This window comes from Homo sapiens, chromosome X, assembly GCF_000001405.40.
Source record: "Homo sapiens chromosome X, GRCh38.p14 Primary Assembly".
In the NCBI taxonomy this organism is placed as follows: domain Eukaryota; kingdom Metazoa; phylum Chordata; class Mammalia; order Primates; family Hominidae; genus Homo; species Homo sapiens.
In genome coordinates this window covers 7,071,798-7,098,186 of record NC_000023.11, presented here as the reverse complement: position 1 = coordinate 7,098,186, position 26,389 = coordinate 7,071,798, and the positions used below count along the sequence as shown (strand labels likewise).

At 44.2% G+C, this 26,389-nt stretch overlaps 1 protein-coding gene across 6 annotated transcripts in view, besides 3 other annotated features; it reads left to right on the top strand.

Moving 5' to 3' along the window:
* PUDP (pseudouridine 5'-phosphatase) overlaps positions 1-26,389 on the top strand; it is a 442,316-nt gene that overhangs the window by 49,967 nt on the left and 365,960 nt on the right. For all 6 annotated transcript variants that reach the window (XR_007068202.1, XR_001755734.2, NM_001178136.2 and 3 more), the window contains one exon: positions 20,738-20,967. Coding sequence is in view for 4 of the 6 variants with exons in the window: in NM_001178136.2 (NP_001171607.1) it covers positions 20,738-20,967 (230 nt within the window). In the remaining 2 variants the exon portion in view is untranslated. The remainder of the gene's footprint in view (positions 1-20,737; positions 20,968-26,389) is intronic.
* Positions 14,858-14,927: an enhancer, noted in NCBI's record as "active region_29383". NCBI's record gives its function as "activates an Ori minimal core promoter by ATAC-STARR-seq in GM12878 lymphoblastoid cells {active_cell/tissue: GM12878}" and the evidence as "EXISTENCE:reporter gene assay evidence [ECO:0000049][PMID:35858748]".
* Positions 15,047-15,547: an enhancer, noted in NCBI's record as "H3K4me1 hESC enhancer chrX:7000681-7001181 (GRCh37/hg19 assembly coordinates)". NCBI's record gives its function as "activates a minimal SCP1, AML or CMV promoter by ChIP-STARR-seq in naive H9 embryonic stem cells {active_cell/tissue: H9 hESC(naive)}" and the evidence as "EXISTENCE:reporter gene assay evidence [ECO:0000049][PMID:30033119]".
* Positions 15,548-16,048: an enhancer, noted in NCBI's record as "H3K4me1 hESC enhancer chrX:7000180-7000680 (GRCh37/hg19 assembly coordinates)". NCBI's record gives its function as "activates a minimal SCP1, AML or CMV promoter by ChIP-STARR-seq in naive H9 embryonic stem cells {active_cell/tissue: H9 hESC(naive)}" and the evidence as "EXISTENCE:reporter gene assay evidence [ECO:0000049][PMID:30033119]".

Sequence of the window (26,389 nt, the reverse complement as noted above, 5' to 3'; positions counted from 1 at the left end):
CAAACAGACTAACACCTGGGGCATTGCTGTAAGACAACCTTGGAGCATGTGTGGTTACACCTGGCCCAGTGAGTGGCTCCTAGCAGGCACTTGTGTCATCTCCTAACCCAGGAGGATCCAGTCCTCACCCTGAATCCCACCTTGAGGAGTTAGTAAGGTCGTTCTCCATCCCTGCTCGGCTTCGTTGAAAAGCACACACCAGCCATGACATGGACACCATGCACATGACATGGGCTCTAGTCCTCTTTCTGTCCAAGCTGTGTCTTCCTCTTGTAAGTAAGCCTTCCTCCTCAGGCTGACTTAGGTAATTATGGTTGTTTCCATCCTTCTACTTTTTTTCTTTTTAATTTTGTTCTTGGTTTATTTTCTTACACCGTTGTCTTCCTGGCTGTTAACAGATACACCCCCACCCTTTCCATTAGGAGCATCTGGCAGGAAGGCACTCATCCTCTGGAAGTCAGCTAACAACTTGCCTCTCTTTCCTCTGAACTCTCGTGCATGTAGTGCTGAGTGAGTGCTCGGGGGGACACAGGAGAAAGGTCTCTTTCCTAATGGAGTATGTCATCCATTTGGGGAGAGGGGACAGGCATATCTGCAGCATCCAAGTGAAAACCCGTGGTAGGATATTGTTGCACAGCAAAATGAGAAATTCAGGAAAGAGATGCCAAAGGGATGTAGAATTAAGTAAAGCAAGATATTCTTGGAGTAGTGGCCGCTCCTGGGGTAGGGGGTGACCTCGGGGGAGTCCACAAGAACAGAAGAGATACAGATGGGAGAAGCCATTTCAAAAGGAAAACAGCACCTGTGGAGGATTCCAGTCAGCCAGTGAGTTTGCTTCTATACAGCATGAAGCCAAGCTTCTCATGGCTCACAAGCTTCAGAGAGGAATTGTGGCTCTATGAGTTGAGCTTCTTATTCCCCAGCTCATCTGTTTGCTTTCTGGATAGGGAGAACCATTGGGATTTTTAAAAGGAGGCGTGTCAGAATGCAACCTGCACTTGGGGAGAATCCTCTGGGTTTGTGGCACACAACGCCTGCAGCCTAGAAGAGATGGGCCAGAGGAAGGCCAGGGTGATGGTAAAAGACATGCACCCCCCTTGACTGGGCCATGAGGTGTCCAGACGGAACATTCTTTGGAGTGTGTGTGTGAGGGTTTTTCTGGAGGAGATTAGCATTTGAATTGGTGGATTCAGTAAAGGAGATTTTCCTTTCCAGTGTGTCTCATGAAACACATCATTTTTCGCATCATGAAATTTGTCACTAGAGGAATGAAAGGATGATCTTAAGTAGGGAGAATATCCCTTCAGGATAAAAAAAAAACCACAATCATGATATGCTTTTTTTTCCATTGGAGACACAGTCTCATTCTGTCACCCAGGCTGCAGTGCAGTGGTGCTATCATAGTTCACTGCAGCCTCGAACTGCTGGGCTGAAGCAATGCTTTCACCTCAGCTTCTGGCGTGGCTAGGACTGCAATTATATGCCACCACACCCACTAAGGTTTTTTTCTTTTTTTCTTTGTAGAGACAGAGTCTTGATATGTTGCCCAGTCTGGTCTCAAAAGTTCTACCTCAAGCAGTCCTCCTTCCTCAGCCTCCCAAAGTGCTGGGATTACAGACATGAGCCACCACACTGGGCCTTTTTTTTTTCTTTAATTACACAAATTACACTTGTTTCACACGGTACAAAAATGTATAGCATTAAAATTGGAAGCCCTTCTAACTCCCACTCTCCTACTCCCTGGAGATAACCGTTACTCAGTGTTTAACTATTTAAGGTACCTCATTTCACCCCTTGTCTTATGATGCCTATGTGTTTGTGTGTAGACCCACAGGCACACAGAGATATGCTCACCTACACTCACCTACATGCACCTTTATGGAATGAGGCCGCTGACATAATTCACCAAGATCCAGAGCAAGTACCTATAGATTAATGGGACAGAAATCCCAAATGCTTTAATTAAATTGTTAGTCAATTTTTTTTTTTTGGAAGTAGGTCTAACAAAAGTGAGGACATCTTTTTCCTAGCTCTTAAATGAATTGTCACTGTGGATCCCTGAAATGCTGGACATCCCTTGGGATGGGAAGGCACTCAGAGCACTTCCTGCCTGGGAGCACTTACAAGGTTGCATTAGTCCATGCAGTGCTAACATGATTCTTGTGTCAAGGACAGCTTCCAGAAGACCTCAGCAGGCAAGCTGTGCTGCTTTGGTTTGTCCTCCTTAGTGATGGAGGTATTGTGCTGTCCACACCCTTACAGTCCTGTAGATTTTCATATGTCCACACTGACACAGTCACATCTCTTGTTCCGTCTCCTGTGCCAGTGGCTTCAGGGCCAGCTGTTACCTTTAGGAACCAGGAAGCACCCAGGTCAGCTTCCAGGCCAAGAAGGAAGCCAGCAGAAGAATTATAGCCCTTGGTTTATAGGCCGCTCTGATAATCCATTACTTTCTAAGTCTGGGCAGCAGGCCTCAGTGTTGAGGGGCAGTATAACACCTAGGTGGCAGGAGCCTCACAGAGAAGAGGGACCCATTTGTGTACATGGCACAAACTGTGTCTCCACCTGCCTGTCATTCCTGGCCTATCCTCAGCCAGATTTCACAGCTCGGTGCTGGGGCTATGCCAGTTAGATCTACCCAGGGTGTTGGGGCTTCGAGTCTCATTAAGATGGACAGTGCCTAGGAACCCCAGAACACATTCTCTGTGCCATGTTCAGGAAACATGCACCTGAAGGGTATTCATGCCACTTTTCCTTGTTGGTGTCCACTATGGTCGTGTTGGCTCACAAGCATTGAGGACTCACTGCATGTCATGCTCTCAGTGCTTTCACTCGTGGGGGTATGTGTCAGCCTCCTGCCGCCGCTAAGAAGCAGTCGCTCTTAGCACAGGGAATGGCAGGTAGGACTGCAGGGGTCAAGTTACTTGTCCAAAAGCTTGCAGCCTCTGATTATGGAGGCTGGCCTCGAACCCAGGTGGGGAATGAAGAGTCCATAGCTCTTAGCCACGGCGCTCTACTGCCCCAGATGATGTGGCGGTGACCTTCTGTTGAGGTAGACAACATCAGAGTACAAAGGGGAGAAGATGTGTTCTGACACGGGTCACAGGGCTGAGCCCTTTAAGGCCATATATAACCCATGTGGAGAAGTCCCCAGTGCTCGGGGACTCTGCCTCGTCCAGCTCCGTTTCTGGTGGTGGTCTCGATTTGGGGCACTCAGCTGATTCTCAGTCGCTGGAGAGGCTCTGCTGGCAAAGCTGGACCTCAGGGATTTTTACTTAGGCAGATTGTACTCCTTGGATAACAGCACAATTAAAGGACACACACAACAAGCGAAAAGGAAAATTGTACGCTGACAGTCATGGTAACACATTCAACTTACGCTGTGTTCCTTTTCCGTTTAACAAATCGAATTAGCCCCATGTTCAGGAAAATTTATGATCGTAGGGAGGAAGAAGCCCATTTGCCAGTCAAATGTAAATGTAAATGAAAATTCTTACCCCCCTTTTCCTTTAAAGTATCAGCTTATTGGCCAGGCGCGGTGGCTCATGCCTGTAATCCCAGCACTTTGGGAGGTCGAGACGGGCGGATCACGAGGTCAGGAGATCGATCGAGACCATCCTGGCTAACACGGTGAAACCCCGTCTCTACTAAAAATACAAAAAATTAGCCGGGTGTGGTGGCAGGCGCCTGTAGTCCCAGCTACTTGGGAGGCTGAGGCAGGAGAAAGGCGTGAACCCGCGGGGCGGAGCTTGCAGTGAGCCAAGATCACGCCACTGCACTCCAGCCTGGGCAATGGAGCGAGACTCCGTCTCAAAAAAAAAAAAAAAAAAAAATCAGCTTATTCAATGATGTATATGGACATTATTCCTCTTTTCTGAATATAGTGACTTTCATAGGCAGCTAATTGCCTTGTTATTTAGTAAATTGTAATGAAGACATCCTAGACTAAGGAGAATAAGATACAAATCTTTGCTTCTGATCATCCTAGATATTACCTCACTGCGCATGTGGAGATGTTTCTCAAAGAATTACAATTTATATTTTTTGCTTTGTTTGTTTGACACAGGATCTCACTCTATTGCCAAGGCTGGAGTGTAGTGGTGCAGTCATGGCTCACTGCAGCCTTGACCTCCCTGGCTCAAGTGATCCCCCCAAACCCAAGCGATCCTCCCACCTTGGCCTCTCAAGTAGCTGACACTTCAGATGTGTGCCACCATGCCCAGCTAATTATTTCTTTCTTTTCTGTAGAGACAGGGCCCTACTATATTGTTCAGGCTGGTCTCAAACTCCTGGGCTCAAGTGATCCTCCTGCCTCAGCCTCCCAAAGTGCTAGGATTACAGGAATGGGCCACCACACCTGGCCCAGTTTCTGTTTCTAAATGTGTGGTGGTTCTCCTGTGGATTTCTAAGTCTTTAGGAGTATAGGATAATGAACAAGAGAAATCCTTACCTCAAGGACCTCTCGATTCAAAGGAGAGGAAATGAGTAGATAAATGACCACAATGGGTTGAATCAAGTCACTGTCCCTCCGGGAGGGGTGTGCTCACAGCATAGGACAGCACTGTGGAGCTGCACAGACAGGCTTTGAGGGGTGTTAGGTGCCAGCACTCTCTGCACACTGCAGTCAGGACGAGGGAGTGGGGAGGGCAGTGACTTTTAGGTGAGCATCCAGGTGTAGAGCGCTGCCAGCTTGCCCCGAGTCCCAGCACCCGCTCACAGCCTCCTGGCGCCAGTAGTAGAAATGGTTGCACAAAGCAACCAATGAGAAATACTTTCAGTTTTCCATCTGCCACACAGAGAAGGTAGGAGAGGCTTGCAAAGGGAATAGCATCCAGTCCTTTTGTTACTTGGGCATGGAAAGTTGGGGTTTTCCTTTTGATTGAGTTCTGGGAAGTCAGCATGAATCAGCTTTCGGTTCCCTGCCTCCAGACCCTATTCTCCTGCTTCAGTATGATGTCCCTAGAGTTGTCAAATCCATAGAGGCAGAAAGTAGAATTGTGATTGCCAGGGGCTGGGGGAGGGGGATGGAGGTTTTAGCATTTAATGGGGACAGAGTTTCACCTTGGGGAGATGAACACGTTCTGGACATGGATGGTGGTGATGGCTGTACAACAATGTGAATGTACTGAATGCCACAGAATTGTACACTGAGAAATCATTAAAACAGTACATTTTATATTGTAGGTGTTTTACCACATACAACAATAGTTATTCTTTTTCAAATGGCAAGAAGCCATTCAAGGATTTTGGAGTTGTGTTTTGGCAAAGCTCCTGTGCAGATGAGGTAGAAAGCCTGTAGTGAGTAGACACAAATGTGGTTTTTCACATAAGTGTTGTGGATAAGTGCATCTCCTTATCCCCAACAGAATCATACACTCTTATCAGGGAAGACAGGTGTCTCTCATACGCCCCAAGCACCTGGGTCATGGGGACTTGGGCCCAGTGTCATGGGCAGGTTTGAGTGAGGTCAGGAGTACCTCGCACCACGCCTACTCTCTTGAGGTGGTTTCTGCACCACTTCTATACGGTGGGACCTTTCATCTCCATAGCATGGTAGACACAAGAATACAGGGAAAGTCTTACTCTCTCCTTTCTAGAGGATTCCTTAGAGAGTAGACTGTAAGAGCAAGACTTTAATATTTGAGACTATTGACAGAGACACCATCAACAGAAACTCCTCACAACAAAGCTCTAGCCATAAAACTGAAATTTCTATGAAATATTTGCAAAAAAAAATTGACAATAGGAAACTATGATATTTTATAGTAAGTAGTCCACAAATTAGGTTAAGAACTTTAAAATTAGTTTGGGATTACTATAACTTAAAGTATTCTGTTATTTTTGTCTTATTGTTGAATGCATAAGGCAAAATGAATCCATTTTTGATGTGAGTTATTTAAAAGAAGAATACTTTTCTGTTACCTCTTATTTGTGAAGAAATTGAAAACTGAAACTCTTTCCCAATCTTTATATCATTTGCACTTTTATGTTTGTTTTGTGACGTAGTCAGGGTTGTTCTTATTTGCATTATGTAGGTGAGGATACAGGTTCAGAGAAGTGAAACGGAGAAGGAGAAGTTTGACCCTGGCCTTGTAGGCCATTACCAGGCTGCTTTTATTGAGAACCTCAGGTATGGCATTCTCTACGATGAGTTAAATGCCTTCTTCAGATTGGGTTTTATAATACTTGTGCTTGTTTAGGTAAGAGAATTTACATTGTTTAATCACGTAGAGAGCTATAGTAGAAAATCAGGAAAATTGAATGAGCTATTATGTTAACATTTCCTAGTTTGTATCTTTTCCTTTGGCTATTAATCATAAGCTATTTAAATAGCTGTTTTATACATTTATTTTGTAGTGATAGATCCTTAGAAGTAGCAACCCGAAAAGTGATTCAAAGTAAATGAAATTAGTACTGTAAGCAGCTTTCTGGCAAATCAAAGAAGACACAAAATCAAATATTTTTCTGAGGATGGTCAGTATTTTGAGATAGTTGGTCAGGTTCTCCAGATCTTAAGAAAGCCAATGAAAGAAAAAGTCCATTTAAGGCCGGGCGCGGTGGCTCACACCTGTAATCCCAGCATTTTGGGAGGCCAAGGCAGGTGGATCACTTGAGGTCAGGAGTTCGAGACCAGCCTGGCCAACATGGTGAAACCCTGTCTGTATAAAAATACAAAAAAAATTAGCTGGGCATGGTGGCGGGCGCCTGTAGTTCCAGCTACTTGAGAGGCTGAGGCAGGAGAATTGCTTGAACTAGGGAGGCAGAGATTGCAGTGAGCTGAGATCATGCCTCTGCACTCCAGCCTGGTGACAGAGTGAGACTCTGTCTTAAAAAGAACGAATAAAAAGTCCAGTTAAATGTGCCTTCCCTTTGAGTTTCCAGAGCTTTCCACATTCTAGTGAAACCTAGGAGACCTGAGTTACCACAGTCAAGTGGTGAACTAAGTGTGTCCTGATCAGAACAAAATACTGTTCCTCGGTATCTTTCCCTTTCTTTTTTATTTACCATTGACAGCTGGCTACAGAGATCATATAATCTCCAGAAAGAATGCTGGTATAGCTTCTGTGAGGACAGGAGGCTCCTGACGATCATAAAGTCTTTTTCATGGAGTCACCATTGACCCTTTGGAAGTGTTCAGTGCCACTTCTTTCTCATATCAACGTAAAACTCTGCAAAGTCATCTCCTTCTCATCTGTTACATAATACAAAAGAATGCATTTTACTTGATTTTCAGGGCAAAGAGCAGATTCTGAAACTGATAGCACATTTGCACACTGAACTCAGAATTTGCCAGTGGTAGTAACCTTTGTCACATGGCGGGGAGCACAAGATTGTGTCTGATTGTGTCTGGCCTGGTTGGGGTGAAGTCGGGGCTAGTGGGTCGCTTACATGGTAGCCTCCAGCCTCTTCATTGTGACAACACAGGAGCTTCTGGTGTTGAAACTGCCTGTCCCTGTAAGACTGAGATGAGATGTGAGGCATATGATCAAAGGGTCACTTACCAGCTAGCTAGGGGGAAGTGGACATTTCCTGAATGTCCCACATTTTAGAAAATAGTACGAAATTCCCAATGCAGATACTGTCTGGGTTGTATGAGTCTTATTTTACTGAGTTTTCTTTGTACCATGCACAGCCTATTGTAAGCGCAATTTAATAAGGAGATTTTAAGCATGTTGGTATATCAAATTGATTTGATCTTTATATACATCCTTTTTGTCTATTAGGGATTTATATGAATTCAATTTCACAGGGCTAAGAAAAATTTTTTTAAATTTAAAAATTTCTGCTCCTTTGGTTGCATTGAAATGGTGGGTCTATGGCTCATAAAATATTCTATGCATGGTAAGCTAAAATATATCTGTATTTGGATTTAGCTGCATAAGTACAGGAACTGAACATCAGACTTTAATAAACATTAATAAACCCTTATGCTATATGTTTTTCAATGAGTTATTATATAGTATATATAATATTTAGATACTATATATACTTTAAATTCTCAACATTGTTTTGATAATTTGCTCTAATAACGCTCTAATAATTTGAGCACTTGTAGAGAATATTTAGTTAAGTGGTTAATGGAAGAAACTCGTTGGGGATTTTTGGATTCCGTTTCTAGGAGGGCAGTTCTCTCATGAGGTAAATTTCCTATCTGGTCTGTGCATGAATTTCTTGAAGAACTGACAATAATTCTTCCTATTAGTGTCACAGGCAAGGGGGCAAAGGGGTTAGGTGTCAATGCCTGGCTGATTTCCTGCATTACAAAATTTACCTCTTACTTTTCTGTCTTCCTGATGTTACCCCCTCTTTTCTTTCACCTCTTGGGCCTGCACATGATTTGTTTGCTATCAGGGGCCAATAAGCTTTCTCTGTGTTTTCAGCTTTACAGACCCCATGGTATATGTGTGAAGCCTTTAGCTTTGCTGTGTTAAGAAGCAAGTAGCTGTAAACAGTGCGTGAGTGGGTGCTGGTGCTGCACTCCAGTCAAACTGTCTCTACAGACACAGAAAGTGGAACTTCATCTCATTTTCACAGGTTATAAGATCATATTTTTTGACTCTTTTCATTTAAAAACAGGTAGTAAGTTGAATTTGTGTTTCAAAAAAAAACAAAAGGCAGGATAAAACGAAGAGCTAAAACACCACAGAGCAGGTTGAAATCCCGGATGTGAAGTAGTGGAGCCATTGGGCCCTCCACCCCAAGCTGTGCATTCAGAATGCCACCTGGGGCAGAAAACAGGTTTATACACAGAGCCAGAGAGACTTCAGATCTCCGGTGATCAGGCACAGTGGAGGACGTAGATAAAAGATCCCTGCACCCTGCGCTGTGAGCCCACCAGGTCCCTTCACCTCACTCTCTTTTATGCACAACCAAAAAAGATCCTGGAGAACTCTTCTCTGGGGAAGGAAGTTACCTCATGACAACAACTCTTAAACACCAACATTTCGAGGCCCACTGATGGAAAAACTGACTACAGGTAGTAACTTCGAGTTTGGAGAAGGCTCCCACCTGTGCCCCCAGGTGGTGCTGTGTAGCTTACTGAGAATCTGCCTGGCGGCTCAGCCCCCACTCTTCTGTTGTGGCAACCCACATCTGAAATGTTGTCCTCTGGGGAACATGCATCCTTTCCAGACACTCCTGTAATCTATATATTTGTTCCTCCCTTTCAAGAGGCTTAGAACTTAAACTTTGGTTGTCATTTTTGTTGATATTATGCTGTTCATTCCTAGTATAGCCGTTTTCTAAAAGGAGAGAGAAGCAAGGATCATGGATCAGTAGCCAACGTTAGAGTCAGAGAGCAGTTTGCATGCAGGTTGTCACAGAGGCACATCTAGAACACAAGGAAACTCTCATGCATTCCATGTGCTTATTAAAAGGGCATTATACTGCGAAGTACTAGTCTAATAATTCTCTGCAAGGGATTTAAAAAAGGGATCAGGGGTTAGTACTACTTGCTAGAGTCAGAGGGCAATTTGTATGTAAATTGTTACAGTGGCAAATCTGGAACACAAGGACACTCACATGTATCCCATGCTATTAATAAAACGGCATTTTATTGTTTAAGTCCTAGTCTAGTCATTCTTTATAAGGGAAAACAAGGATCAAGGATCAGTACACCATGCTATAGTGAGAGGGAAATTTTCACGTTAAGTTGTTACAGAGACAAATCTACAGCACAGGGAAATATTGAGTCATTTTTAACATTAAGGTGTCAAGTCCTGCCTGGAGGAGGGGCACTTAGGGTCAGTAGGATCAGGTGGAGAGGCTTTTCTTCTAAAGTCCTAGTGCTTAGCAGAGGAATGAGAGAGACCATTCAGTCCCACTATCACATTGTACACCTGTAGTTGCAGCACTGTGGGAGGCCAAGGTAGGCAGATTGCTTGAGGACAGGAGTTTGAGACCAGCCTGGTAAAATCCTGTTGCTACTTAAAAAAAAAATTACACGCTGTAGTCCTACGTTTACTTCATAAAAACTAATGTAGAAATGCAAAATTAATTTTCCTTAAATAAAATTTCTGCATTACTCTCTATATTACTTTGTCTCTTTTATTTTCAATGGCTGAAAAAAATAGTTTTGTTTTAATTTTTATTATTTGATCCATCCTTAATTACCAGGCATTGATCAGTGGTTTGAATTGCCCTCCCTGGCTTTCCATTTTAATCTAAAATTCTGCTATAAGTCTATGAAATTGGACCAGAACACAAGCTGTGCCATCAGTGATACTGATAACGAGATTCTAGAGAAAGGTGCTTCTTTGGCTGGAGGAGTTTAGGCCGATCACATTTCAGTGACCCCGGAGAACATTAGACAGCACCTATTGCCACAAAGCAAGCAGCCAGCTGTGGGTAGAACAGCAAAGGCAGTCGGATGCTCATCGCCTGTATTGCCCTGGGACCAGCAGACCAAATAAATGTAAACTGGACTCTTGCAACTGTTTGTTTGAAGATTTGAAAGGAGTTAGTTTATATTTATTTTCATAACTGCTTTATTTCTGTCAGTATTTAATGTTTGCCAAAAAAGGAAACACAGGTTTCCCACACTGTCTCCCCATCAAGTATCACAAATTTGTGTGTCAAGTACCAGAATTTGAGAAAGATAATTAAGATGGTTTAAGGTCATCTCACAGATAGAACCTCAGTCTATCCAAGTTTTCTCCTCCAGGGTCAACCCACTGTATTAGCTTCCTGGTAGTGCTGTGTTAATTAACAAACTCCGTGGCTTAAAGCAGCAGAAACTTAACTGTCTGACACCTCAGAAGGCTAGAAGTCCGAAGTCAAGGTGTGAGCAGGGCTGCACTCCCTCTCAAGGCTCTAGGGAAGGATCCTTCCTGCCTCTTTTCAGCTGCTGGTAGTTGCCGGCCACCCTTAGCTTTCCTTGGCTTGTACCTTCAACTCCCCAATCTCTGTCTCCATTTTCACACGCCCTCCCTCGTCCTGTGTGTCTTTGTCTCCAAATTTCCCTCTCCTTTCTTTGGATTTAGGGTCCAACCTTAATTTAGTATGGCCTCATAATAACTTGATTACATCTGCAAAGACCCTATTTCCAACTAAGGTCCTATTCCCACGTTTTAGGTGAACATGAATTTTGTGGGGAGAGCACTGTCAAGCCAGTACACCTCCACCCATACTTTCCTACTCCCAGCTCAGACTGCCACTGTTCAGGTTGCCCCAGGAGGGCCCTGAGCTGGGGCGCGGACTCAGTCAGTCGTGTTTGGCTGGAGTGTTCCATGAGGTTCAGCCAGTCTTGCCAGAGCCTTGCTCCTCTTCCAGCCCCTCAACCCAATTCCTTTCTCCTGTTTCCTTTCCTTCCACACTACCACACTGTCTTACGTCCAGGATATAGGTTAGTCACTCAATTCCATAAGCCGGATCCTGTGGTGCAAATTCCATAAGTGGCGATCCCTGATATTAGCTTTGAGTTGGTGCCGGGTCCCTAGTAAATTAGGACTGAAGATCTGCACACAGCCAAGGGCCCTCTCCCTAGCAGCAAGCACCTTTTCAAAAGAGCAGAATTCATTTGGAAGGCCTAGAAAAAGGAAGGAGGTGCTCTGCCAAAATCAATGATGTCTGAGAAAGAAGCATGCTCCCTAGAGCTTGGAGAAGATCAGAAGAGGGATAGCCTGAGGCATGGCTCTGCAGTAAATCATTAAGAGACGCCCACTCACAGTGGCTGTGGCTACCAGAGGTTTCCTGTGAGGGAACTAAAAAGCGCACAGTAGTGTTTGTAAGTGATGGTTCCATTTTAATAGATAAACATACAGAACTTATAAAAAATCAAGAATCTATATTAGCCAGATTTCCTAAATTAGTTAATATTTCTTTTAAATTTATACTTAAAGTCACAGTTTTTAAAACTATATATATGAATGTGAATACTATATGCTTTGGGGAATTTGACTTTGGTTATTTTCTAGTGTCAAGGATAAACACAGCCAGACAGTAGTTAAAGCGATCAGCACAGATTTTCTTCCATAATATACTATTGCAATAGAGAAAAGAGACCAATGTGAAACTGGGCTCAACATCAATTATCCCAGAGGTGACTGGGCATTTTAAAGGGAAATTCAGGGAGTAGGGAGGGGTCAGCAGGGGCTCAGCAGAGTTGGGGAAGTGAAAATTGCAGAAAGCAGGAAGAGGGTTTGGTCAGTGTGAAGCCATCTGGGTTTCACTGGTGCTGATAGAAGTCAGGCTCCTGCCCTTCCACAGAGGCTTGTCTGCAGGAGTGGCTGGAACCAACAATCAGTTATTTTGGCAGCCTTGAGTTTTCGTAGGCAAGTACTTTAAGGGGGCTAGAGTCATGTAGCGGTGTGACCTTGAGCTGTTGAACTTGTTCAAGTCTTTATAGGCCAGTGTGGGGGCCTTGTGGAGAAAAAGACTCAGAGCAGCCTGAGTAGAGTCTGGTCCAGGAGACACTTTTGTCACTGAGCATGACCAATCCATTTATCACAATGGTAGCAGCGTGTCCTCATGGAATTATGTTTCCTTCGATAAATCTTGAACAAGAAATAAATGCATCAGCATATGTTTTTAAAAGTTAAACAGATGTTAAACTTAAAGGAAGTTTGCTAAAATCCATTTCGTGGACCCCTTTGTAAATACCTGACCTACACAGCTTACCCCTTATGATTTAAAGTTAACTTGCATCCATTTTATGGAATCCCAGGTGCCTGTTTGACCTGCAGACATCTTTCTCCCTTCTTGGTCACTCTCTCAGGGCATCAGCTCTTCACACAGCAACAGCTTCCTGCATGTGGCCCCTGACTGTCCATTGATGACCGAAGGCTCGTGGACTTGCCAAGTTGCCCACGTAAAACCCAGGGTTCAGAGAGCGAGACAAGTCCTTGCATTGTGAAGTGCCAACAATTCTAGTATTCCAAAGCTCAGTGTTGTTCAGAACATGGTACCCTTGTGAGATCACGTGTGACATTTGTGAAGAACCTGGAACTGATGTTTCCTTAGGAAGCCTCGCAACAGTAAGTGCTTTCAGCTCGCTCAAGGAACTTCAAGTAGGCAAGAAATAAGAATGGAAACCCTGCATTACTCCATCAGATCTTGAAAGTTTTCTCTTGGATAAATGTGCCTGTCAATCACATCGAATCTTATCCCCTGCCTCCATGTGCTATACCACAACAGCGACGTCTGCTGGACCGTGTGTGCTCTCTGGGTACACATTTTCCAGGAGGCAGCATCTTATTAGAGAGTAACAGGTCTGTCTTGTGTAAAGGAGAATGCTAACCGCTTCATGAGAAGGCTCCCCACCATGAACTCGGATAACCGGATGCTATTTTTTTAACTTATTTATTTTTTAATTGACAAATAGAAATCGTATATAGTTATCACACACAACGTGTTTTGAAGTATGTATACATTGTGGAGTGGCTGCGTCAAGGTAATGAACACATGCATCATCTCACTTTCTCATCATGTTTTGTGGGGAGAACACTTAAAATCTAGAATCTGAGTGATTTTCACATAGCCAAATGTTATTTTTAATGACCTTTGCCTTAATTGTCCATTCAATATCGGTCATAGATATTTATTGAGGGCCCAGCATGTGCCAGCCAAGCGTGGCCTCCTAATTGGAAACACAAACCCTGAGAAACTCTGAGCATTGTTGTGTAGTGCAGGGGCCATCCTCACACCCCCACAGCCAGCATTCAGCTTGCTTCATAAGCCATGGATGGAGTCAAAGGAAAACTAGCTCACCTTCCCACTATGTATCTGAAATCACTTTCTATTCCATGCTGCACACATGTACTGCAAGGAAAAGGAATGATTCCTGCCCCCACCACTGCCTTCCATTCCTAAGAACAGAGAGGATGGAGTACGAGGATGAGGAAAACAGACGGCAGGAAATAAGCAGTTTATTCACTGGATGTCTGCATGGGGTCTTGGGAGTGCAGAGGTTGTGACTCATTCTTGAGTGGAAGTTTCTAACCACATACATACAACCGCAATAACTGCAGCCAGCTGCTGGAGGTGTTGTGGTGAATCCCAGCGGGTTACAAGGGTGTGAGAAGCCTGGTAAAGTTTCCAGGAAGTGAAAGCACATGAGCTATGTCTTCACCCGCAAAGATGCAGGTAACAGCTCAGATTCTGAGTCTTAGGAAGAGGATGGAGGCCGGAGGGTGACAGGGTTTCTCTGTAGTCCTCAGGAAGTGAAACTGCCTCACAGGAAATAAAGCAATATCAATCAGGCAGTTTCTTTCTGTGTATATTTGAATATTGTCAATGTTTTAAAAATCACGACGTATTTCTTTTTTTTTCCTTCTTTTTTTTTTTGTTGTTGTTGTTGTTGAGACAGTCTTTCTCTGTCGAGTGCAGTGGTGTGATCTCGGCTGACTGCAACCTCCGTCTCTTGAGTTCCAGTGATTCTCCTGCCTCAGCCTCTCGAGTAGCTGGGATTACAAGCATGTGCCTCCACGCCTGGCTAATTTTTGTGTTTTTAGTAGAGATGGGATTTCACCATGTTGGTCAGGCTGGTCTGCAACTCCTGACCTCAAGTAATCCGCCCACCTCGGCCTCCCAAAGTGCTGAGATTGTAGGCATGAGCCACCATGCCCAGCCAAACCGGACATATTTCTAAGGAACGAGAAAGAGCAGCCGTCTGTCCACCACCTGCCCCCCACAACTGTCTTGAACCGCATCCCAGACAGCTTGGTGTCGTAGCTGACATTGCCTGTGTCGGCCCTCCTCTCCTGATTTATTTTAATCCTCATATGTTCTTTCTTCTTCTGGGAATTGTTCTTTTCTAGCATTCTGTTTTTGTTTTAAGGACTCAGTAACTTATATGTCTTCATGAATACTAATTATTATCATGACTGTTGCTTCCTCGCCCACTTTTCTCTGGATTGTCATTTTTTTCTGGCAGATTCCTGTCTTCTGCCTGTTTGAGTCTTCTTCCACAAACACCTGGCAGTGTCTGTTCTGCTCATTCACATTCAAGAACAGAGCACCTGTGTGTTCATTTCCTGGGGCTGCTGCCACAAGATACTGAAAACTCAGCAACTTCTAATAACAGAAGTTGACTGTCTCCCAGTTCTGGAGACTGGAAGTCTGAAATCAAGGTGTCTCAGGGCCACACTCCCTCTGTAGGCTCTAGGGGAGGATCCTTCCTGCCTTTCCCAGCTCCTGGGGGCTCTAGGCATCCCTGGGCTTGTGGCCACATCACTTCAGTCTCTGCCTCCGTTTCCACGTGGCAAAGTGAGCTCATCTCAAGATTTTTAACTTAATTACATCTCCAAAGACCCTTTTTCTAAACAAGACAGAAGTACCATGGGTGAGGACTTCTGTTTGGGGGCTACCGTTCAACCCACTGCTCTCAGTCACACAAAGCTTTTGAAGCATAACACCTGCTGTTCAGGCAGTTGCAAAAGTAGCCCCTAAGAAAGACAGCATGCCAAAGCACCTTCCCCATGGTGGGGTGGGGTGACGGGCCAGGCACCCTTAGGATGCCCATGCAGGAAGTGGAGGCTCAGCAGAATCCCACAGGTGTGTCTGGTCCTGGGATAGCATCAGCGTCTTCTCACAGGTAGCCAGGTGGCATCCATCAGCTGACCACATCGTCTGCCCCAGTGGCACGGGCTGTCTTCCATGTCTCACTTCATAGAGCTCTTCTAGACTGAGGCCCAGGACATGGTTCTCGGCACACAGCGTTAATGACATGCACGGCCCTCTAAGCGGTTCCCTCTCCCACTTTGCGTTGTCAACCCCCGGTACCCCCCACTTGATTCTGTTGCTCACTGCAGGTCTTAGGTAGTACAGAGAATGTTCAGGCTTGTAGGGTTCTGATGGCCAGATCACCCAACAAAAGAATGCCACGAACACCTGAGACCGCGCGGCAGCTGCCTGTCTTCTGCCTCTTTCCTTTGTTTAATCCTGTTTAATTGCACATCCCTGTTCTCACCCACCTTGGGTCTCTAGGATGGAGGAAAGCAGGAGCGTTTCTTCCCACTCACAGTGCTGATTCTCCACATTCCCCAGTTCTTCCCCTGGAGATGTGTCCTGTGAGCTGATTGTTTGGAGCAACAGATACCTAGATATCTGTCTCTCTGCCCTTCCTGTAAACCCACGGAAGCACACCAAATTCTAGGAGCTGGGAACTGGAGTTCATTTATACACATAATTAACCAGCTTCTCCCTAGAACAGAACTCCATTTGCATTTTTTCGTCTTTTACTTCTCAGGGAAAGCCACTGAGTGAGACAAAGTTTGTGTGCACTCTTTAAAAGATGAAAAACTTTGTGAAGGCATCAGGCAGTTTTGAATCAGGTGATTAGGATCGTTCATTCCTGATGATACACTGGAGCTATATCTGATGATAACGACACTACCTAACATTTATCTGGGGCTTCCTCACCCATGTCATTTTCCAGGCATTGTTCTTCTTGTGAATTAATTCCATGAGGAACGTTAATCATTGCTCTTTGACAGATGACAAAATTGAGGCCCAAAGAGGGCGTATAATTGACGGATGTCCCGTAATCTCTGACTGTGGTCATAGTCTTGTCTTGGCTTTCATCTTCATAGGAGTCCCAAGCATTTTGGAGATCTCAGTATGTTGTGGTGGTGTAAAGCAGTCGTCCAAAACCGTTTTTGATTCATTCTCCATCAATAAGAATGTTGAGCTGCATTCCAGTCTAGACACATTGGTGTGTGTTTGTTTATCTACTCCACCTTAGAAATAATTCACAGCAATAGAAATGCAAGAAGGATAAGCTAAAATAAAATAATCGGCCGGGTACAGTGGCTCACATCTCTAAGCCCAGGGCTTTGAGAGGCCGAGGCAAGAGGATTACTTGAAGCAGAACTTCAAGACTAGCTTAGCTAACATAGGGAGACCCTGTCTCTACAAAACATAAAAAAATTTACCAGGCATGGTGACATGCACCTGTAGTCCCAGCTATTCGGGAGGCTGAGGCTGGAGAATCGTTTTGAGCCCAGGAGGTCAAGGCTGCTATGATTGTTTGACTCTGCTCCAGCCTGGGTCACAGAGCAAGATCCTGTCTCAAAACAATAATAATAAAATAATCTGTTTAAGTTTTTAAAATTAATAGCACCAAAGTACTTTAAGAAAATTTTTATACAGTGTGTTTTACAGAGCCATGTGTTTAAGTGTGCTCCATTTTTTAAAATATTGGTTTAAAATTGTGTGATCTAGCAATTTAAAAATCTTGTTTTAAATTCAGATTGTTTTGATACTCAGCTTTAATCACTGTTTATATCCAGACAGAAGTTCATGATTGGCTAATTTTTTTTTTTTTTTTTTGAGATGGAGTCTGGCTCTGTCACCCAGGCTGGAGTGCAGTGGCGCTATGTCGGCTCACTGCAACCTCCACTTCCTAGGTTCAAGCGATTCTCCTGCCTCTGCCTCCCAAGTAACGGGTTACAGGACGCACTGCCACACGTGACTGTCTCTTTTTTAAAAAAATTAGAGCCTTTTATCTCATCCATCAGTTAGGTTAAGGTTTAAATTGAAATTTAGCTAATAAATATAGTCCTCTGTGATACTAATCAGTGGTTGTTGCAAACTAATGAAATAGTGTGGCATTTTAGTATTTTTAACTAATGGATTCAAGTTCTGTAGAAGCTCTTTAGGTGGAGTACTTCTACACTGATTGAATATTGTTTTTATGCGTGGAGGTATGTGTATGTATGTTCATGAGATCTGTCGTTTTCTTGTCTGGCTTTTGTCTGGTTTTGGGATCAGGGAAGTGCTGATGTAAAATGTAAAATGAGTTGAGAGGTGTTCCCTCCAATTTCCTGAAAAGTCTGTTTAGAATTGGCATCCTTTTTTTCTTGGGAAGTTGGTAAATTTACCAGCAAGGCCATTTGATCCTAGATGTGGGAAGGAGGTTTTTAATTACAAATTCAATTCCTTTCATAGGCAGAAGGCTATTCAGGTTATTTGTGTCTTCTTGAGGGAGTTTTATATCTTTCAAAGAATTATCTCATTTCATCTAAATGGTCAAATGTGTTGCCATTAATCCTATAATAATTAAGTTTTTATCATTTTATCGATGTTAGAATCTGTAGTGATGTCTGTCCCCTCTTTCCCTGCTAATGTTAGTACATTTGGATCTTCTTTATTTTTTTGATCAGTTTAGCTAGGAGTCTACTAATTTAATTGCTCTTCTCAAACAACTCGCTTTTGATTTAGTTGGTTTTCTGTATTCTACTTTTATTTCATTGATTTTCTCTCTCATGTTTATTATTTCCTTCCTTTTATTTGTTTTGGGTTTAATTTGCTCTTTTCCTTCACTTTCTTAAGGTAAAAGCTTAAATCATTGAACTTCTTTCTTTCAGGTTTTCAATGTGGCAACTTAGATCACTTATTTGAGACCTTATTATTTAACATATCACTCAATGCCATCAGTTTTCATCGAAGCAATGTTTTAGCCACATCCCAGAAATTTTGGTAGTTTTTAGTTCTCTACAAAATATTACCTAGTTTCCCTTTGTGATTTCATCTTTGACCCATGTCTTACATAGAAGTGTAACATCCAAATATTTGTGATTTTCCACATTCCTATTATTAATGTCTATTTTAATTCTACCATCGTTAGATAAGGTATTCTGTATGATTTTAAGTATTTTATAATTTTTGAGAATAGTTTTATCCTTATAATAGGATATTTCTTGTTGAATGTTCCACGTGCACTTAAAAATAATGTGGTTTCTGCTGTTGTTGGGAGAAGTATTACATAAACGTCAATTAGGTCAGGTTGCTTGACAGTGGTTCTGAAGTCTGCTGTGTCCTTACTTCTTTTCTGTCTACTTGTTTTATCAATTACTGATAGAGGAGTTTTAAACTTCCTTCTACGTTTGTGTTTCTCCATTCAGTTCTATTGGTTTTTGCTTTATGCATTCTGAAGCTCTGCTATTTGATGTTTACACATTTAGAATTATGTCTTATTGATGAACTGATCTATTTGTCATTATGAAATGTCCCTATTTATCCCTGATGATAGTCATTCATTGTTCTAAAGGCTTGTTTGTTATTAATGTAAGTAACCTGGCTCTCTTTTGAGCAATAGTTATGTGGTATGTAGTTTTCTATCCTTTTATCTTCAATCTATCTGTGTAGTTATATTTAAAGTAGGTTTCTGTAGACAACATGTAGTTGGGTCTTTTGTTTTTCTTTTTTATTCTGATAGTGTCTATCTTAGGTGTGTTTATAATACTTATAAAGCCGTTACATAAGGTCATGATCTGCTAATTCCATCTGTCTCTATCATTTCTGTGTCTATTTCTCCTGATTGTGGGTGGTATTTGCTTCTTTGCAGCATGGTAATTTTTGATTGAATGTTAGACACTATGAATTCTACACCCAGTGGAGTGCTAGATTTTGCTTGATTTCATTTGCTTTATTTAACTTTGTCCTGGAACTACATTATGATCTGTCCATGCCTTCCTTTTAAAAATCTTTAGAGGGTCAGGTGCTCCAGATATCTGTTACCTTATCCTGAATGACTGTAGGTGTTCGGAAAAAATGAGTCTGTTGATTGTTTTGTGTAACAATTGACAAAGTAGGGACATTAAATCATGACATTATTAAAATAGGCATGATTATACAATTATTTAAAATAATTTTAGGCCAGGCGTGGTAGCTCATGCCTGTAATCCCAGTACTTTGAGAGGCTGAGGCAGGCGAATCACCTGAGGTCAGGAGTTTGAGACCAGCCTGGCCAACATGGTGAAACCCCATCTCTACTAAAAATACAAAAATTAGCTGGGCGTGGTGGCACATGCCTGTAGTCCCAGCTACTCTGGAGGCTGAGGCAGGAGAATCGCTTGAACCTGGGAGGCCGAGGTTGCAGTGAGCCAAGATCAGCCATTGCACTCCAGCCTGGGCAACAGAGTGAGACCCTGTCTGAAAAATAAAATGAAATTTTAGGCAAACCGTCACACCTTGTGTGGATTTAGATGTTCCTGTTGTGCTAGTCGCATAAGTTAAAGGTAGGAAGGACTCCTGGTATTTTTGATTCTTTCTGATAACTAGTCCTCTCATGATTGGCTCTATGATGACCTCCATGGACCTGTGTGGTCCCTGTAGTTAATCCGTGTGGCTAATGACAGTGTGAGGATGCTCTTTTCATATGGCACGTTGCTGTTGATCAGCTGTGTTCAGCAGCTTTCTTTTGTCCCCTGATCCCTTGTTAAGTAGCGCTGCAGCAGTCCCTCAGCCACAGCCTTCTTCAGCATCTGGTGGACGCCTTTGTGTAATTTCCTCTCCTTAGCAGGGTGAAGAATGATTGAAGTGTTTTCTGTAGAATACAGCATTTTTGCAGAAAACACCAAAAGCATAGTCCTTGTGTATTTACTGCTCTGGAAAAAAAAGTATGGTTCAGCGAGGCCCTGCTGAAGGGCCTTCCCCGGTGCCCTGGCCAGATCCCAGGTCCAGTCACCTCCTGGGCCTGCTCTCTGCCCTTCTCCACGTTTCATAAGGAGGCCCAGCAGGCAAAGCAGCAGTGCCTCCCAGTGCGCTCTTCTTCTGTTCCTTTGGGAAACGTATCGCTCAACCGCCAATAGCTTTTTTGATTTTTTGGTTTGTTTTATTTGAGCAGGGATGTTGTGGAGCTGACAACCGCTTTTAGACAATCTGTCCTAGGTCAGAAATTCCTCAAAAGGAGCAGCCTGAGAGTGTGCTGCCACACAGCTGGAGGGACTGTCCCTGCAAGAAGGTCTTATGGTGGAGGCCTCGCCCCTCACCTCAGTCCTTCCCTCCTCCTCCCCAGGGGCGGAGAAACTCATCATCCACCTGCGGAAACATGGCATCCCCTTTGCACTGGCCACCAGCTCGGGGTCCGCGTCGTTCGATATGAAGACAAGCCGCCACAAGGAGTTCTTCAGCTTGTTTTCCCACATTGTGCTGGGAGATGACCCCGAAGTGCAGCATGGCAAGCCAGACCCGGACATCTTCCTAGCTTGTGCCAAGAGGTTCTCTCCCCCTCCTGCTATGGAGAAGGTAAGTGGGTGCCGGTGACACGGGCCGTGTTCCACAACCATGTTCCACCAAATAATATCCATGTAGTGTTTGCTAAATGTGAAAAGTTGTGGTTTGTGCTGTTGAAGGCCACTTTGCAATGCTCCCTAGAACTTGGGTATGTGGGCAGGGAGATGGTCTGGTTGGAAGATTTTGTGAGGAATCGTGGCCGCACCTAAGTCACCAGGCCAGGGAGACTCAGCCAGAATCCACTGGGTCTCAGGGACAATCTGAGAAGCTTACAGTGCCAGAACAAGGCCTATTCAGACATTTTCCAGGGAAGCGGCGGTTTTAATGATGTGGGGCTTAAAACAGTCTTATTGTCTAGGTGCAGGCTTTAAGGTGAGTATTCACTGCAGTTCAGATGTAAATCACTAAAACTCACTTCCCCTCCCCAACTGCTTATAGAGTGCTCGTTGGTTGCTGCAGTTTTTGCTTGTGTAGTGACGCTGGGTTTTTATCGCCAAGTTTTTGGACTTCCATCCATTTCTCCATTGGAAAGTGGCAGCTGGTGGGCTTGTATGCCGTGGCACCCCCTGTCCCGCACCACGGCTGCTTGACCATGCAGGGTATGCAGTGGAGACGGCCCCTGGCTCCCTCTTCTTGTTAAATAAGGCTCCTCCTCAGGTGACCTGGGCAGAGCGTTTAGAGAGCCGACCGCTTGTGGTGGCTGGGCCTGGCTCCAGATTCCTCTGACCGTTCTGTGACTGCCAAGATGGAGTCCTTGGCCTGAACGATCTGCAGGTACAGATTCCAGAATCACAGGAAGTCACCCTTGAAAGGGGGGCTCCCGCTGGCGATGTAAGTGTAAGCAGCTGGGGAGGGCATCCGTCGGGGAGTCTCTGCAAATGCCTGCTTCCCCTGGGTTCCTGCATGTGAGGACTTTTGTGGTTTGTGGGGAAGAGCCTTTCAGTGAGAGGTCTTTTTCAGGCCTCACCTCTCATTACTAACCAGTGACACCAATCACGAGCTCAGGGAAATTACTCAGAAACCTTCCCAATAAAGCGGAGCTACCGGAGTAGTCTTGAAAGACCTGTTTTTTGTTGTTGTTGTTTTGTTTTGTTTTGTTTTTTGCCCAGGGTGCAACTTACTACCTTGAGCCTATAGAGGCAGCCGGAACCTGTGCCTCAGTACACAGGCCTCTGATTCTCTGAAGCTAAGTGGGCATCCAGCAATTCAGTTCAGTTCTGACACTGACTCCTACGGTTAGCCCAGACCCCGAAGGTTAAGGCCCCAGTCCCACAAGACGCCCATTGCACGTTCCAGGGGCCACCTGTACTTCTGATTGGCTACAAATTGGGGGTTCCTGCAATCCTCTCTTCAGGTCTAATAATCCCCTAACATGACTGACAGAGCTCAGGAAAACACTTTCATACACTTGCTGCTTTGTTATGAAGGATAAAACTCAGGGACAGCCAAATGGAAGCAAGGCATTGGCCAATGTATGGCGGGTGGTTGCAATGCTCCCCTGCCCTCTCTGGGCACCTGACCCTCCCAGCACCTCCATGTGCTCACCAAACTCAAAGCTCCCCAGGCCCCTTATGTAGAGGTTTTTATGGAGCTTTCTTACGTAGGTGTGAGTGATGACATCACTGACGATTGCTCATTGAACTCAATCCAGGCCAAGGTGCCCTCCCTGGAGATGAGGGGGAGGGCTGAAAGTTCCAGTCTTGTTTGTTTGTTTGTTTGTTTGTTTTGAGATGGAGTCTCGTTCTGTTGCCCAGGTTGGAGTGCAGTGGCATGATCTCGGCTCACTGCAACCTCCACCTCCCGGGTTCAAGCGATTCTCCTGCCTCACCCTCCTGAGTACCTGGGATTACAGGCGTGTGCCATCACGCCTGGCTAATTTTTCTATTTTTAGTAGAGACAGGGTCTCATCATGTTGGCCAGGCTGGTCTTGAACTCCTGACCTCGTGATCCACCCGCCTCAGCCTCCCAAAGTGCTGGGATTACAGGCGTGAGCCACCGTGCCCAGACCTAATCTTCTAATCGCATATTTGGTCTTTCTGATGTCCAGACCCTGTCCTAAAGCTATCCTGGGTCCACTAGAGGCATCTTATTAGGTTGAAAATGGCTTATTAATGACTCAGAAATTCCAAGTGTTTTAGGAGCTCCATGTCATGAACTGGGGACAAAAACCAGGTGTGTAGTTTTTATGATGCCATAGCTATAAACAGTCATTGAAAGACAGTGGGGCATTCTTAGCAACACACATACCTGGGCTGATTGAAATCTCATTCTTGATTTAAGTCTCATTATTGAATTCAACTTGACTGCAATTGCTTAACGTGGGACGTGCCTGAGACCTCCCAGCTAGTAAGTCAGAGAGTCAAGGCTGAGCCTCCAGGTGCGGCTGGAACAGCTCCCAGTGGGAACATGTATCTGCTTCTTATGTCTGGACATGTGTATGTCTGCATGCTTGGCACCCTGTTACAAATTCCTCTGCAACATGTTCATTTTTCCTTAGAATTTCCCCCTTGTGGAAGAATTATTCCATAGCTTCAGGCTATAAAGCCTTCTTCCCAGAAACACCATTTTTGTTGTTGTTGTTTAACCTGAGTTATTGTTCACTAGAAAAGTGAAGGTGCTGCACTCCATAACCATGTCCCAGAAGCGATCAGAGTATGTTGGCACTTGCATTCAGTTCTGTATTTACAAACTGATAAAGACAAGGTGAAATATTTGCCTTGTTAACATGAGCTGTTCCTATAGCTAAGGCAATTAAACGGAATTTCAAGTACAGGCAGTCCTTGTTTTGCAAGGTACTCTGTTAATGGAAACATGGTGTTTCATGTGGGGTTTTTTGGTTTTGGTTTTGTTTTCCTTTTGTTTTTCAGATAGGGTCCCCTTTGTTGTCCAGGCCATAGGCGGTGGTAGCACAATCGTAGTTCACTGCAACCTCCATTTCCTGGGCGTCAGCAATCCTTCTGCCTCTGCCTCCCAAGTAGCTGGGACCATAGGCACACACCACCATGCGCAGCCGGGTGTGGCAGCTCACACCTGTAATCCCAGCACTTTGGGATGCTGAGGCAGGAGGATGCTTGAGCCCAGTAGCTTGAGACCAGCCAGGTCAACATAGCCAGACCCTGTCTCCACAAAAAATTAGCCATGTTTTAAAATGTATATGGAAGCAAAGTGTATGTGGAAACCACATGCTGCCATTGCATGGGACCAGTTATGGTGAAACCCACAGAGCAAGGGCCCTCATGAGGAGGAATTTCTCTCACAAGGTACCCTGCAAAGAGGCCCATGGAATGAATTGTGTTTTAACATCTTGGTGTTCTCATTGACAATGTTTGTTTTAGACTTGTCAAAGAAAAATGAGCAGTTGCATTTTTTAAAAGTCATTTAGCTTTTAGAAAGTTCTAAACATTTTCCTTATTATTAATCTACATTTACTTACAGATATATTTCTCTTGCAGAAATGAAATGTTTCCTCTCATGCTTCTTACTTAGAGACAGTGACACATTGTGGGTCTTCCTCCTGTGATGTGCATATTGTAATACTAAAGGAAGTTTTTCCCAAGCTCCTGTCAGGGAAGCAGCCCTGGTTTTGTACTTGGCATTTGTGTCAGGAATACAGGAGGCAGTGGCCAGGGGCCGTGTGGACGATCTTGGAGCTCTTCAGTCAGGCCCTGCTGCTGCTTCTTGCCCGCAGTGTGGGTGTGAGCTCACAGGAGCAGCATGCCTCCAGAGTTCAAGGGCATTCCATTAAATCATCAGTCACTGAAGAGACTTCTGAATCTCTTAGGGAATTGCCTTAGGGAATTGATCATGCCATAGGTGTCACCAGGTTAATTAGGCATAGTAGTAGTAGTAGTCATAGGAAAGTAGTCAAAAACAAGTAGGATCAAAGGGTTATTAATTATGTTAAATATTAATTCCCATCTTACTAGGAGAAAGTGTCCAACAGAGCTGACATTAAAGAATCAAGTTTTCACTGAGAATATTTTCTAAGTTATTCATGTATCATTATTTTGTTCTAAAAAATATCAAGCAAACATAAGGCCACCTTCAGAAGCCCCCCAGAAACCACCTTCAGGATAATGAGCACCCATCGAGTGAAAGCACCCGCCCACTGTGTGCCAGGCAGGGTGCGACATCTGCCAACACATCCCCTGAAGGCCAGAGACCCAGTGGGTAGAGGGCCTCCATGTGCCGAACGCCAGGTCCTGAGACTTGCGAGTGTGAGCACACTCATTGCTTGGTGGGGACTTGAGCGACCAAGCTGGGAGGCACCCCAGGGCTCTCTGTTCCCAGCCACAAAAATGCCATCATTGTTGTGAAACAAAAATGATGGCATTGCTTACATATCACTTCTAGGGTTGATATTTATTACAAGTAAAACCAGAAATCGGAAATCAGTTTTGTTTTTTTTTTTTTTTTTTGAGACACAGTCTTGCTCTGTTGCATAGGCTGGAGTGCAGTGGCACGATCTCGGCTCACTGCAACCTCTGTCTCCTGGGTTCAAGTGATTCTCCTGTCTCAGCCTCCCAAGTAGCTGGGATTACAGGCACACGCCACCACGCCCGGCTAATTTTTTTATTTTTAGTAGAGATGGGGTTTCACCATGTTGGCCAGGCTGGTCTTGAATTCCTGACTTCAGGTGATCTGCCCACCTCGGCCTCCCAAAGTGCTGGGATTACAGGAGTGAGCCACTGTTCCGGCTGGAAATCAATTTTTTACAGCCTAGCCATCACTACTTTGCGTGTTTTAGTTTTCTTGTACTTGTTAGTGTTGTTTTAGGAGCTGAATTTCAGGTTTTAAAAAAATTATTTTTGTTTTTGTTTTTCTGTTCTATTTTCAAGAAAGTTATACATGTTAAACTGCATAAACAGATAGAGTAGACTCATTTTGCCAGCCTAAGTTTTGTGTATATTCGGTATCTGTCTTTTTTTGTATAATACCAGGGTTGAAGTTGTGAGATAATATTCACAATTAATAAACAAGGGACGTGGTAGATTCTACTCTTTTTCGTGGAAACCTGCATATTTCTTAATGAATAAGGGCTAAGTCCACATAAATAGGTAGACTGGGCTCATTTCAACCAGCCTTTAGACATTTCTACTCATAGCCCAAACTATTATGCTATCACCTTGTTAAGAATACAGTCTTACAGGTGGTGGTTCATGCCTGTAATCCCAGCACTTTGGGAGTCCAAGGTGGGAGGATCACTTGAGCTCAGGAGTTAAAGACTAGCCTGGGAAACATAGTGAAACCGTGTCTCTACAAAATATAATAATGATGATGATGATAAATTTGCCAGGTGTGGTGGCGCCTGCCTGTAGTCTCAGCTACTTAGGAGGCTGAGGTGGGAGAATCACCTGAGCCTAGGAGGTGGAAGTTTCAGTGAGCCGAGATCATGCCACTGCCCTCCAGCCTGGGTGACAGAGCAAGACTCTGT